Raw genomic sequence first — 16,426 nt, 5'->3', positions numbered from 1 at the left:
GCGATAATGAAACAGAAAGATCAGTTCAGAGAAATTTGCAGTAATGCAGGGTAATAACAGTAGTTGAACCACAGTGAATTTCTCTTTGTATGTGAAGGCAAAGGAATGTGCAAGTAGAAACAAGTATCTTGATTATTTTTGAGTCAATTCTGAATTGGATCTAACATTCCTTTATGCTATATGTTGATATGCAGCTAGTTGTTTTTTGAAATTGAGATTATCAGTCAGCCCCTCCTTGCTTCTGCCTCTTCTTAGCATCAGAAGTAAAGACTTTTCATCTGCAGCTTGGCTCTGCTACAGATGAGAATAAAACTTGAAATCAATGAGATTTCAAATTTGAGTCAGTAAGAATCAAACTTGAAAGAATATTAGACGCCTCATCTCTACCAGAGGATAGGATTTAGAAGTAGTTCTCGGCCAGAAGATCACTAATCAAGGGTCCCTGGTGGCCCTGCCTACTTTCTGAGCTGTATTATTTAGCACCCAGTTTGCATGGCTTGTGCCTTCTCTGGTTTAAAAGGACTTAGGTCCATGTTGACATTTCTATTATTTGCTAGGGTGGTCATAATGAAGTGCCACAGTCTGGGTAGCTTAAACAACAGAAATATTTTCTCACAATTGCAGGTTAGAAGTCTGAGATCAAAAATGTCGGCAGAGTTGCTTTCTCCTGAGGCCTCTCTTCTTGATTTGTACATGGCATCTTCTCCTGTGTCTTCACATGGTCTTCCCTCTGTGTGGCTGTGTCTCCTAATGTCTTCTTGTAAGGACATCAGCCATATTGGATTGGGACCAACTCTAATGAATATCCTAATGGCCTCATTTTGTCTAAACTACCTCTTTTAAAACCGTATCTCCAAATGCAGTCACATTCTGAGGTGCTGGGGGCTAGGACTTCAACACAAGAATTTTGGGAGACACAGTTCAACTGATAAAAGCATTGAAATATTTTTAAAGGACTACAATTATTCCCTGAATCCCAAATCACTTCACTAGAGCCCTGAGAACCTGTCTAGTGTTAGCCTGTCACCAGAATAAAATACTTTGTCCCTGTTTTCCTGGCTGTTGAATAGGGCCTGTTTTAATCTGACTCAGTTCACCTATCCACTTCAATCAGCTCCTGACTGTCCCTTCTCTACATCTGATTGATCAAAACATGTAGTCAGTTCTCCTTCCTTAATATATCTTTATTTCATCTGCCAATCAGAGTCATAACTCCTAGTCCAAGGTCTGCCCATTTGTGCTGATATTATTGTAATAGTTCTGAACTGGCTCTCTGTTCCTAGGCATTTCTTCCTCCCACTTATTCTCTCTATTCCATGTCACCCACAACAGCAAATATGATTATAAAATTTCTTATATAAAATTCCCAGTAAGAGACAACCTATGGAATGGGAGAATATATTTGCAAATCATACAAATGATAAGGAGCTAATATCCAAAATATATAAGGAATTCAAACAACTCCATAGCAAGAAAACAAATAACCCAATATAAAAATGGGCAAAGGACATTAATAGGCATTTCTCAAAAGGAGACATATAAATGATAAGTATGTGAAAAAATGTTCAACATCATTAATCATCAGGGAAATTCAAATTAAAACCACAATGAGATATCACTTAAGATCTGTTAGAATAGCAGAAATACAGGAAGATAATAAACATTTATGACGATATAGAGAAAAGAGAACACTTACACACTGCTGGTGGGAATGTAAATTAGTACAGCCATTATGGAAAACAGTCTGGAGGCTCCCCAGAAACTTAAGAACAGAACTATCATATGATCCAGCAGTCCCACTACTGGGTATATATTCAAAGGATATGAAAGCAACATGCTGAAGAGATATCTGCACTCCCATGTTTTATTGCAGCATAATTCACAATAGCCAAGACATGGAATCATCCTAAGGGTCCATCAATAGACGAATGGATAAAGAAAACATGGTATATATACACAATGGAATACTGTTCAGCTCTAAAAAGAGAAATTCTGTCATTTGCAACAACATGGATGAACCTGAAGGACATTATGTGTCCTTCAATTTTGAAAGACTCTTGCGTGAAATAAGCTCAGCACAGAAAGAAAAATACCGCATGATCTTACTTATATGTGCAGTGTGAAAAAACCAAACTTATAGAAACAGAGAGTAAAATGGTGGTAACCAGAAGCTAGGGGTTTGGGGACCTTGGGGAAATGTTAATTAAAAAAATAGAAAATTTCCATTAGACAGGAAGGATAAGTTCAAGAGATCTACTGTACATCATGATCACTTCAGTTAGTAACAATATATTGTCTATTTGAAAACTGCTACTCTGTAATAAATTTTATGTATTCCCATTACAAAAAAAAGATAAGTATGTAGAGTAATGCATATGTTAAATAACTTTATTTTGTCATTCCACAATATGTATTTTAAACGTCATGATGTACACTATAAATATATACTATCTAACTTGCCAGTTGAAACAAATACATGCATACATACATACATATATAAATCCTCAGTAGTTCCTTATATAAATAAAATTCAAACCCCTTCTTTTAGTAAGGTTCACAAAACTCTTTATAAACTTAGTCCCAGATTACTATATCAACTTTTCGTAACCAACCTCCTTGTAATCTGCAATTTCTGCTACATTAACTTACATACAATGGTTTATTAAATTACCTGTAAAGACTTCTTTGGGCTATCCTGGAAAAATGGGTAAGAGTTTGTAGTTAATATAAAAACTTGAAACTGATGCAGAAAAAGTATCTAGTTTTCACTAGGACCATTGGAACTAAACAGAGTGATATAATTTGGATGTATGTACTCACCCAAATCTCATGCTGAATGTAATCCCCTATATTTGAGGTGGGGCCTGTTGGGAGGTGATTGGATCATGGGGGCAGATTTCTCATGAATGCTTTAGCACCATCCTCTTGGTACTGTCCTTGCGATAGTGAATGAGATCTTGTGAGATCTGTTTAAAAGTGTGTGGCACCTCCTCTCTCTCCCACTCCTGCTCTGGCCATGTGACATGTCTGCTCCTCCTTCACCTTCCACTATGATTATAAGTTTCCTGAAGGCTCCCCAGAAGCCAAGCAGATACCAGCATCATGCTTCCTATCCAACCTATGAGCCAGTTACACTTCTTTTTGGTATAAATTATCCAGTCTTAGTATTTCTTTAGAGCAACGTGAGAATGGCCTAATACACAGAGCTAAACTCATTTTTCTCCCCTACTTTACTTAACTTTTTAAATTGAGATATAACTTATATACAGTAAAGACTACAAATCTTTGTGCAGCTAAGTATTTACGTATTTATACACTTTGAACTACCACCCAAAATAATGCTCTGTCAAAATATAGAACATTTACATGTTTATACACTTTGAACTACCACCCAGAATAATGTTCTGTCAAAATATAGAACATTTCTAGTCATCCAGAACTTTCCTTTTTATCTCCTTTTAGTAAAACCTCTCTCTACAAAAGTAGCTACTCTCATAACTTCTCTGAGCATTGATTAGTTTTGCCTGTTTTTGATCTTTATATAAATGTAATCATACAGTGTGTAGTCTTTCCTATCTGGCTTTTTTTTGCTCAACTTCATGGTTATGAGATTTATTCATGTTGTTGTATATATAGAGATAGCTGCTCTGCTACTTTAAATGTAACTTTTGGTAAATTGTTTATCCTCCTGAGCCTCAATTTTTTCATCTGTACAAATATAACCCACCTCCGCATGATTGATTTGAGCCTTAATGATGCCCTGTTACAAACGCTGACAGTGGTGTCCAGCACACAGTAGGCCATTCTTAAACTATAGTAATTGTTACTATGATGATTGTCCTCTCTATTTTCACTTTTGAAAACTGTTCTTTCAAACTATTATTACAGGATATGTAGTTTTTAAAAATGTTTTATTCAGAGCTACTCTGCCTTCAGGATTGAAATCTAGACAACAATGGGTTTAAATCAGTATTATGTGAAACAACCTTCAAATGAAGAAAGGAGATTTAGCAGTGTGCCCTATCATTTATCAGGTGAGAAAAAAAAGTGTGAAATATCACCTCTCACCTCTGCAGAAGGCTTTCTATATTTTATGTTTTGTTTTTACTGTGTATGGTTTTCTGGGTGGCCTCCTTTGAGACAGACCACAATATTCTCTGGGGTCAGAGGCTCTATTCCTAGAAAATGAAATAATTTTCAAAAGTAATAATAATACTATGACATGACTTATCTTGGATTTCTCCTATTTTGGCTTTGTGTGGGTGCTATGATCCTCTGTAGAATTTCTCATAGGAACTGACGAAGAAAACACAGGAGTGTTTTTTGTTGTACACCGAGCCTGAAACATCAATGACATACCAGTTAGTGGGTCAACTGCACTGAAAACAAGTCAGAGACCTTTTGCTCATTTAGAGGAAACAAAGTTATGAAAACTTTAGTGACTTAACACCAAGTATCTCCACCCTGCTAATCTGAAAGAAGACAAATGTCTTAATTGAGCACCATTCCTCCTTCAGATCAGAGAATTTTCTGTATGCCGCTCACTGTACTGAATCCTGGGAAAATAAAGATCAGTAAGATGAGGTTTCTGCCTTTAAGGACTCAAAGTCTAGAGGGAGATAGAAAAATATATGAACAAATAATTACAATTCAACTGATAGATGATGATATGGGAGCCCAAAGAATGGATAAATTAATTTGACTTTCAGAAGACTTTATATACTTGCTTATGTTCGAGTAGGTCTTAAAGAATAATTAGATTTTCAACAAGAGAAAGGCAAATGGAGTCCTCATTGACAAAGCTTTTACCATGTAGAATAGGTGTGGGATTAGTGCCATGCCCTATGAATATGGTTAAAATAGCTAGATTATCCACTACTATTTGGAGCCAAAGAAGATACAAGAAAAAAAAAATCTAATGTTAAGTATTGCTATCAAGTTTCAATGCTTTCTTCCCAGTGCTATGCTCAAACAAAACAATCCCACATCACTGATTCTGGTATCTTTACCAATTAGACATGAAGCATTAAGTCCAAATGAAGACATCCCAAAGAACTCAGGCCTTGACCTTTAGTAAAGAAGAGTGTTTATGTTAACTTCTATTAATTTGATTCTGTGTCATGGAGCCAGGGATCTCAAAGTGTAGATGAAAGATGTCCTATAAAAATAAGGTATTGCTGTTGTTACTAAGTCACATGACTATCTGCTTTCTGAGGAAAGAGATTGTGTCTTATGTGCTATGGTAGTCCCCTACATTTCTCACAGGACTTGGCATCATAAATGCTTCTTGCACAAATTCCTGTTAATGGAGAATGTAAGGGCACCATGTAAAACTGAAGTGGGTCACATGGCCCATCAATTATTCTTTATTAATATCATTTCTGTTCTTTTCCCTGTCCCTAACTCCTGCCTTAATTCTGACACTATTTTCGTCCTTTCTGGTTATTTGCTATAGGTACTTCCAGGTTCTATATACTTTAAGAGATGTTTTCTTAACTCAGGACATGAGGTACACATTTCTGGTATTGTCTGCTTGGCATCTTGCTCTTCTGTTCCTTCCCTACTTTATTATATGGTTTCTACCAGTGTCCTCGTGTCCTTACATGACATCTCTCTTTACCCATATTCATTGGTCCAAAAATGGATACCTGGCCTATGAAAGGCTGATGAAACTCTGTCCTAGAAATTATAGATGTGAGTCTAACATCTCAGTTTGTATTCTGAGTCTGCAATTGTTAAATGCAAAATATGTAGAAGTCATTAAAAGACTAGTTTTTGCCATGTAGTGAAAGCTACCTATAGGGAGAGGAAAAAGGTGAAGCCCAACCAAAGAGATACAGAGACTTAAGACTGAGAAAGTCCAGAAGAAGTTTGGTTTCCAGTTGCAGTTTCTGTGAGGCTCAGCTCTATATCTGCCTTTCTGTGTCTTTGCTCTTTGTTGAGCCACAACAGACATACATAGGACACCTCTTGTGCACCACTTCAAATACTTTTGGCCCAAATCTTATACATGGGGCTGGTTCTTTTCAAGCTTCCTTCAACCTTCTTCATGTAGGTGCAACTTGACAGCACCTTGCCTCAGCCTTGTGCCTCTCACTTGCTTCTGACACTACACCATGGAACATGCACAGGCACCCTCTCAGTAGCAGTTCATATACAATCTAGAAGTGTAGGGGAAGTTAACGCCGGTAGGACTACCTTGATTAATAGTGAATGGAATCCAATGGATAAATGTGCGCCATTTTTTAATTCCCCAGGCAGACAATCTTGAAACACATTTTAAAGATTCCTGCAAAGGTCTCGTGGTAAACCACACCAGTCACCTGTGAAGTAGGAAACTTAATGATACATTCATGTATTATCTTTCTGTCCTTCCCTCTTTCACTCTTCCCTCTTCCTCACTCCTGCTTCTTGGGATTATATTCCAAGACAATCAATCTGCATGCAATCTGGTCTAAAAGAACACTTGCTCGTTGTTTCCCATGTTTGTTTAAGTTGGTTCCTGCCTCTTGCTACTCAAAAACATTGTCATAATTAATACAAAGACCTGCAATGGTTCTCTCAATGCCCATAGAATAAGATCATACAAGCAACAGAACTGGATGAGAATACATGAAAATCCAAGCACAGGAAGCAGCCTACTAGTTTGTCGGGATGACCCCATATTACTATTTGCCTATTCTTTGCCTGTTGTAATCTGCTCTTCTTTGCTTTCACCTTCTCTGGCTGAAAATCCCTTAGCTCTCAATACTTTAGCTCTCAATACTCATGCCAGGCCTTCTTTCTTTGAAGACCCATGTGTTATGCTACTCCAGGTGTGACAGTCACACTTTCTCTGGATTTGGTTCTATATACATAGTTCAGCTCCATATCATATGGTGGCCAGTAAGCTAGAGACCCAAAGACTCACAAATGCCAAAGCCCCTCACCTAGCATTTCTCCCAGTGCCTAAGACATAGAAGCCACTCACCAAATATCTGTTGGATAAATTTATAAAGGTATTGATTTCTGGGTACTTAAAAGCAAAGATTAAAGGGAAATAATCATTCACTTGATTATGCTTGAATCATTATCAATCATATAAAACATATACTGAATATATCTATACATACTTCCTTTTAGTTGTATTATTAGAAGCTTAGAAAAAATTAAAGTCTTCGTCAAAGCTGTACATGGATACCAAAATTTATTTCACTTTTTACTTATTGTTGATGTTTTAGGTTGTTTCTAAATTTTCTTTCACAATTAACACCGAGATAAATATTCTAAAAATAAAGCTTTTATCTCTAGCTCTGTTTATTTCTGAAGGATAATTCTTAGGAGTAAAATTATTTTGCTAATTACTATGGATAAATTGTTAGCAATAGGTAAAGTCATCTTAAATATTTTTGTAAAATTGCTACAAACAGGCATATTGTTACAACCTTTTACTTTTTATTAGTACTGATAAACATTTTTATGTATTTACTAGCCCTTTAATTGGCCTTCTGTGAAATGTCGATCTATATTCTTTCCCATTTTAATTTATACTATTTCTATTTCTTTACTGATTTATATATTGTCTTTCTATGTCAAGGGTATTGTCTTTTTCTATCCTTTTTGCAGCATTAATTCTTTGTAATTGTTTTTCTTTTACTTATACTAATTTGACAGACTTACACATGTATAGAGTATTTTCCTTTGTAATTTTGATTTGTTTAATTCTTAGAGAGAGATAACCCATCCTGTCCCCAATATTTTCTTTTTAAAAAAAAATAGATTTCCAGGGTAAGGGGAGGGAGAGCATTAGGACAGATACCTAATGCATGAGGGGCTTAAAACCAAGATGACGGGTTGATAGGTGCAGCAAACCACCATGGCACATGTATACCTATGTAACAAACCTGCACTTTCTGTACATATATCCCAGAACTTAAAGCGGCATAAAAAAGCCCCACAAATTAAAGAAAGAAATAGATTTCTATTTTACATCTACCTTCTTTTCTTACCTTTATTTCTGTTTATTTATGGTGAGAATTGAATATCTACCTTAATTTTTCTCCAAATAACTAACCAAATTTTTAACACTATTTTTCTAGATATATTTACTGAATAATTTACCATTTCCTTTTCAGTTCTTTCTCTCATCATGGGCCTGTTTCTAGACTATTTATTCTGTCCATCTCCCTGCTTATTTCTGTGAATGTATCCTGGTCTTTTCAACTGACAGAAATTCTAGATAGATAAGGTGAGGGTACACATGATATTTTCATCTTTTCCAGATTGAGACTTTGTTTCTGCACATCTGACCACTGGACTTACCAAAGGTGCAAAACAGGATATGTGACCTGTCCATGTCAGGACAAGGAACAGTGTCACCTGCCTGTCTATTCCTGGTCTGTGGTTGCTGGCTTCTAGTTTGTGGGCAGTCAGATGAGGAATGGGCTGTGGGAGGGAGCCCATATCCCACTCTCAGGTTTAGCTAAAGAATCTTCATTTCCCATCTTGGTTGCAGAGCAAGTTTACATTTATTCCTTATGAACCTGCTATTTCAGGTCAGACCCTGGGAAGCACACTCTGAGGTGAAGATTAACACATGGAAATTTGTTAGTGAGTGCTCTACTTTTGGAAAGCTAATACTTATGGAAAAGAAGGGAAAGAAACAGCATTAGGGAGAGGGAGAAGTTGAGCTGTGGTACAGTCATAATAAGAACTAAGCCAACTCCACATAAAGCTCTAAAGCTGGGATGGCCCTTCACAATTGTCCTGAATTGGAGCAAGGGAGCCGGACTTTGTACTACTGCATTAACCGATCATTGATAGAAGGCTGCTCTAGGAAAGGGGGCATGGCTTTGGAAAAGACATGCTTTTTTAATAGAAGCTGTAGCACTGATTATACTTACAAACTAACATAAATTTGTGAGATTCATTTGTTATCTGTTTCTTTCTCTATCATAAGTTCCAGGAAGGAAAGGATTATTTTTGTTCTTAATTGCCATTGTAGCCTCAAGAGCACAGCAATTATTTGTTGAGTACCTGGTACATAAAAAGCACTCAGTAAATACTTGTTGAATAAATAAATGACCATAGGAGGCAATACTATCCTCGTTGCCTATATTGACAATAAGGAAACTGGGACACAAAGATACAACTAATGAATGACAGAGCTAGGATTTAAAGTCGCATCTGTTTGGTTCAGAGGCCACGTTCTTTTTACTATAATAATTAATCAGCTCAGGCTTCCACAGCAAAATACCACAGGCTGGGTGGCTTGAACAACATACATTTATTTGCTCACATTTCTGGGGGCTAGAAGTCCAAGGTCAAGACGCCATCAGGATTAGTTTCTGGTGAGGCCTCTCTTCCTGGCTTATAGGGTCACCTTCTTACTGTATTCTGAGATGGCCTCTTCTCTGCGTGCACACAGGAAAAGAGAGAGAGAGAGAGAGAGAGAGATCTGGTGTCTCTTCCTTTTCTTATAATGACACCAGTCCTATTGAATTAAAGTCCTGCCTTTATGACATTATCTAACCTTAGTTGCCTCTTTTCAGGCCCTGTCTCCAAACACAGTCACATCGAGGGTTACAGCTTCAACATGTGAGCTTTAAGGCAGGGGACATAACTTCATCTGTGACAAATAGATTTCCACGGCTTATTATAAAGACACAAAGATTTAGGGGAATCTACCCTAGGCAGGACTGCAGGGCTCTCCAGGGCTTCCTGAACTCCCCTTCTTAAAGTTAGGCTGTCATTTGTGTCCAATTATGTAAGAAATAAGAAATAGAAAAAGTTGAAATGAAAGGTATGAGAAATTTTTTTTAATAAAAAGTAGTGCTTCAACGACTAAAAACATGTCGAGAGAAGATTATTTGGTGCTCCCCTAATTAACAGACTTCAAATCACTGCCGGACCATAAAGTACCTTCTTAGCCACACCATGTCAAATTCTGACTCATATTTTCTCATTTAAGGTATTTGAATTTTACCGTCTCTTTCTTGTATTTTGCAGTTGCCATAGTCTTCAGCCACTCATTTAGTCCAGTCTCCATACTTTGGCTAGTTTTCATCCTAAGAAAATAAGACCTTCTCATTGCCTTGCTAAACTACTTTCTACGGTTTCACTTTTCCCTGCACAGTAGTTTTCAAACTTCATTGTGCATCAGAATTACCTAGAAGAATCATTAAAACACAGATTGTTGGGCCCCACCTACTTCGCCAGAGTTTGTAATTTCCTAGCGCTGGCTTGAGTCCTGAGTATTTGCATATCTAACTGGTTCCCAGGTGATGCTAACACTGCTGAACCTGGGATCACACTCTGAGAACTGCTGCCTTATGGATAAGACTAACTGCAGCTCTTGCCTCTGTCTGGCTCTAGTTTGCTTCTCCCAATTATCAATCTGCACTCCACTCACATCATATGCCTCACACTCCACCCCCATGTTTTCTCCACGCCTAGAGCACTTCAGCCACTGTTGTACTGAATGCCTTCATACCTGACAAAGTGTCTTTTCTACCCAGCTCATATACTCCTCCTCTCTCCAGTTTTCCCTTACTTTCTTAGGGTAGTCTAATGATAATCCCACACTGTGTTCGTATCAATGTTTTATATTAATGCTTTATTTAGATTGTTTTCAAGGCTTTCTCTTTCATTAGACTATGAGGTTTAACAATAGGGATCATACCTCACTTTTGTATTTCTGATGATTCACATACTGTCTGGAAAGAATAGGTCCTTGGCCTATATTACGTTAGTATTTAATTAAAAGTTAATTTAACTTAATTATTTGTAAAAGGGTTCAATCATGTATGAGATATATGATCACTCTGACATCTTCTAAAGTTCCTTTCACTCTGTTAGAATCTGACTAAAAACTCTACCAAGGAGCATTTCAACTCCTTTCAGCTACTGCGTTATTCATCAGCTCTTACATTCAACATGCCTATGCAGCTGACTTCTGTCCCAGGCTTTGCTGATCATTCTTTTGTCTAGCACTGTCCAGCCTTTTCTCTGGCTTATACCTTTGCTTCTTGAGGTTCAAACTAGGTTCTCTAGCTTTCCGTTCACTTGCCTCTTGGACCTCCACTTCCTACCAAAATAGCACAACCACTTTGCTTGATCTGATTTGGCTCATTGATTCCTGAATTTTGAAATCAGCTATAACCACTAGATGAATGCCTATCCAGCTACGGTTAGTGTCATCTGGAGGAAAGCCCCTGCTTGAGACTCCCTCCCTTCCCTCCTTTTTCCCTTTTCCCTAATGCTCTTCTTCAACACATTTTCCTGACCTTGATTTATTGTTGAATAATTCTTCAATTCATTTTTCGACTCATGGCTTGCAGGAGACAATAGGTATGGCTTTATATTTCTGGTTTAAGCTACTTATTACTCTGAAATCATAAAAGGGAAAAAAGTCTGGGCATACAAAAATAAATAAATAAATTTTAATCACAACCCACCTGTGAAATATTGCTAATGACAGCCTCTTCAACTTAGCATTAAGAGGGCAGCAGCAGATGAGTTCTCAGAAAAGAAGAATAACTCAACTCTTCACTAATTATAGTGAAAGTGTTCCAATTATATAAATTGCTTGCCATGAAGATTGCATACATTATTTACTTTCAGGTTGAAATACACCTTATTGAACTAGTAGGTTATTTTTAATATGTAGGTCAGGTTTAAGTATAAATGATAGTATATTTCCCCTATAAGCTAAATAACTTAAAAACAACAAAGAAAAACTGTCAACTTCTAGTGAACTAGATGTTACTGATGACAGCTAAGCCACTGCATCATGTTTCAAACTACAAGTTTTAACTGTACTTGGACCAAATAAATTCACTTAGAAAGTCCTTACTCCCAGGTATTATGGTATTTCTCAGTTATATAGGGAGCTTAAGGTTCTTCCTTTCTTTCTTTCTCTTTTTTTTATTTTTTATTTATTAATTTTTTTTTGAGAAAGGCTCTCACTCTGTCGCTCAGGCTAGAGGCTAGTGGTATGAACATCACTTACTGCAGCCTTGACCTCCTGGGCACAAGCAATTCTCCAACCTCAACCTCCTGATTAACTGGGATTACAGGCATGCACCACCACCAAGCCTGGGCTTTTTGAAAACCTTTTTGTTCCTCTGAACTAGACTCACCTACTTCTACCATGAATTCTGTTTTTGTTTGTTTGTTTTCGTGTTTTGTTTTTTACTCTCTGAGTCACCCTTTTTCATTTTTAAACATTGACCATTCTACTGTGTTTTATCTTGAGAAATTGGACCTTCTCTGTGGTCTTTCTCTTAGATTGATTCATCTTGGGGACTGCAACTGTTGCATTTTATGTGGAGGTTTCCCAAATAACACTAGAATTTTGATTTCTCTCAATTTTAAGTTTACATCTCTAGCTCTTTACTGAATAATTTAAATGTTGTATTGATACCTCAAATTTAGCACATTGAAAAAAGTCTTACTCTCTGTCATCCATATTTCTCTCAATATTCTCAACGCAACTCATATTTTAAACCTCAATTATCTTTGAACCTAAGTTCTGCACTTCACTCCCTAAATCCAAATCATGTTGCGTAACCTTCTCTAATACCATATATTTTTATTTTCTCACAGTCAATGTTTTTGTGCGGACCACACCCCTTTCCACTTGGACTATTTTTGTAGCCTCCCAACTATTTCAGACCTTTAGGCTTTCTTTCTCCAATTCCTTCTATGCCCAGCCAGATTAAACCCTTTAAACTCCTTTTTCATCTCATGATGTTATTACTTGCCAAAACCTTTCAATGATTCCAGATTTTCCAAACTTACAGGCCCAACAGGCCTACATGTGGCATAACTTTATTTTATAATCTTATTCCTTCTTACTTATCACTATCCTTCTGGACCCTCAATTTATTGCATTTACAGAAAGTTTCAGAAAAGTGGTGGCTCTTAAAAGGAAGAATGAAATAGCTCCAAAACATTTTTGAGATACTTTGTTTTCTTCCAGGACACTTCATCATGATTACATACCCCTTCTTTAAAGACCAACTATTTCCACAAATACAAAGTAGCACCATGTTGCCTACTAAGTCTCTCCATGTACATGTGAGGCATCTCAGTCTGTGTTCATGGCCCATAGCTGAGTTTGGTGACCATATACATTAAAGTAAAACAGTAGGAAGAAACTACAGGACTTAAAAGTGGAGTGGTACGTAGATCCTAAATGCCTTACCCAGTGGAAATGTAGTCTGTGACAAAGTCAAGCCTAGAACCCAGAATTCCTAATAGGCATTCTTGGGATCATTATAACTGGTTTGTGTATGTTTCATGCTGAGGAATTCCCATTTTTAAGCAATGGAATAAAACGATAGCTTGAGGCCAGGCACTGTGGCTCATGCCTGTAATCCCAGCACTTTGGGAAGCCAAGGTGGGCAGATCATTTGAAGTCAGGAGTTTGTGACCAGCCTGACCAACATAGTGAATCCCTGTCTCTACTAAAAATACAAAAATTAGCTGGGCATGGTGGCACCCACCTGCAATCCCAGCTACTTGGGAGGCTGAGGCTGGAGAATCACTAGAACCAAGGAGGCAGAGGTTGCAGTGAGCCAGGATCACGCCACTGCACTCCAGCCTGGATGATACAGTGAGACTCCAACTCAAAAAATAATAATAATAAATAAATAAAAATAATTTTAAAAGATAGTGTTACCACTTTGTTTAAGCTCATTTTTGTTGATATTAATAACAACAACAACAACAAAATAAACAGAAAGAAAAAAAGTACTTTGAAAGTCTGGATTTATTTGAATATGTAAATTCTCTATGTCTGTTGAAAACTACGCTCAATATTGAATAAGTCTTATATGTTAGACATTGGCATGGGAGTTGATGATAGAGTGGTGAATAAAACAGTGCTCCTGGCCCTAAGATGCTATGTCTACAAGTAAGATTTTAATTATTACAATAAAGTTGATAATCGGTTATACTGTTTGGCTGTGCCCCGACCCAAACCTCATCTTGAATCATAACGCCCACAATTCCCACATGTTGTGGGAGGGACCTGGTGGGAGGTAATTGAATCATGGGGGCAGATCTTTCCCATGCTATTCTCATGATAGTGACTATGTCTCACAAGATCTGATGGTTTTAAAAAGGGGAGTTTCCCCACACATCTCTTGTCTGCCACCAGGTGAGATGTGTTTTTCACCTTCCACCATGATTGTGAAGCCTTCCCAGCCATGTAGAACTGTAAGTCCAATAACTACCTTTCTTTTATTAATTGCCCAGTCTTGGGTATGTCTTTATCAGCAGCGTGAAAATGGACTAATACAAGTGGGTAATGCCTTGTGGGGATAGGAGGCAATAACAGCACATAGTGCATAGGATAAATGCCTAATCCAGTTCAGTGATTGGGATGTGGCTAGGGGTGGACAGTTCAGAAAGGTTTTTAAGAGGAATTAACATTGAAAACGCAAGACCAACAGGAGCAAGTCAAGCTAAAAAGAACAGAAGAGAAAAATGTTCCAAACTGAGGAAAGTGTGCAAAGACTCTCAAGGAAAGAAGTCTTGGTAGGTTTGGAAAAGTCTGAGGAACTTCAATCTGGCTGATCAAGTGCAAGGGTAAAAGGCGAGGTTGCAAACACAGGAAGAGGTTAAAGTGGACCTCTTTACTTTATAGGCAAAATTAATGGGGTTGGCCTTGATCCTGACAGCAAAGGGAGGCCACTTAAATGTTAAGCAGTGAGATGATATGAAATTGTCTTTAGAACAAAAGATTTCCAAATGGGGTAGGCTCATTCACTGGGGTTCAAGGTGTCAGAGGCATGAACAGTTTTTTGTAATTAATTTTAAGGTGGTCACCTTCCTTTTGTACTCCTTCTACTAGAGAATGCACACACTTGTGATGAAGGCATCATATGGTTTTCCTTTTCCTCTTGCCCTAGCATAATTATCTTTCTCCCTCTTTTATTTTTATTTATTATTATTTTTTTATGAGGCATATCACTCATTCATTCTGAACCTTGCTTTGGTGAGTTATCCAGGGGCACCAAACAGATGGACAATTCAGAATACTGGTACTGGTGAAGACTCCTCTTGTCAAGACACAATAAACTCACTTGGAAGATTTGAGATTTGTCCTTGTATTAAAAATATTTTTATTAGGGGCAAAATGTGGTATCAGAAATAGGGTGTTAGAATGTTTTGGAATCAGATATCTTGCAGAGCAAAGATGCTGGAGTAATGATAATTTTTACCTATTGGTTTTGTCTCTTTCATTCCTGAACTATCATCAAAGAATGCAATGCACCTGAAAAGAAAAAAAATTTGATTAAACACATTGATGAGGGTGGCACCTCACTTCATCCAGGAAACAATGCAAGTCAAAGATCCCTGCTTTATCTATTTTAGTATTGGAGCATTCCAAATTGTAAAAAGCATCATAGGAAGTAAGCATCTGCAACAGAGTGAACCCTCTGGATATTTTCCCCCTCCTGGGTAAGGAGAAAGAATACCAATACCAACGAGAGAATTCCCCTTCACCTGTGTTTTCAGCTGTCTTGTTGGTCTGATTTCAAGGAGAAAAGAGTGGAAAATAATTGATTCATTTTCTAAAGATTTTACAGCTTCAGTGAAAGGAACATATAACAAAGGTAAGTTTCTGTTTTACATTTTGATTCAGATTGTGGAGAAACAATTTCATTATTTTTCCTAAGAAATTACTGAATACTGTAAACACACTAACTTTTTACTTGACCAAGGTTCCTGCTGTCAGTCATCAACATCTTTAGTCATCTATACATTCCTCCTATTTATTACAATAAGAATAACAAAATAAATATGTTGTAGCTTATACTATAAATAATACATTGACCAGCCATCATTAATACATGGCGATACCCTCTCTTCTGTTTGCTACTAATTTTTGCAAAATACATTTATCCAATGTCCTGAACCTAAAATCTGCCTCCATTTATTATGATTAATTCTACTGTCTCAAATGTGCATTTGCTGCTCTAGTTCTGTATTTTTCACCATGAAATTACGTTACTGTACTATCTAAATATAATAATTCTCAAGAGCCTATCTTCATGTCAACCTGCTATGCTTTTTAAAGCATCAGGAAATGACCTGGAAAACTAAACCACAGCACAAATGCTAAGATATTTTCTTAAACAGATGACAGAAAATACCCTAATGTGAAATGTGGGAATATATATAGATATATATACACACACACACATAGAGAGAGAGAGTACAAGCATGTGCCTGACTTTGACTAATTTTAGAATCATGAATAAGACATCTTCAAATGAAAGAGTAAAACTAATTGTCATATGAGTTTAGCTGAAGCTTTTTTAGTATACTTCTCAGATATTGGCCAAGTAAAGAACTCTAATGACTGGTAAAACTCACAAGTTACAGGATGTCCAATGGTTTGCTTTTCATAAGATTAAAGGAGGACCTAATTAAG

This window comes from Homo sapiens, chromosome 3 (assembly GCF_000001405.40).
Source record: "Homo sapiens chromosome 3, GRCh38.p14 Primary Assembly".
NCBI classification, from domain to species: Eukaryota; Metazoa; Chordata; class Mammalia; order Primates; family Hominidae; genus Homo; species Homo sapiens.
Note: the sequence above shows the minus strand (reverse complement) of the source record.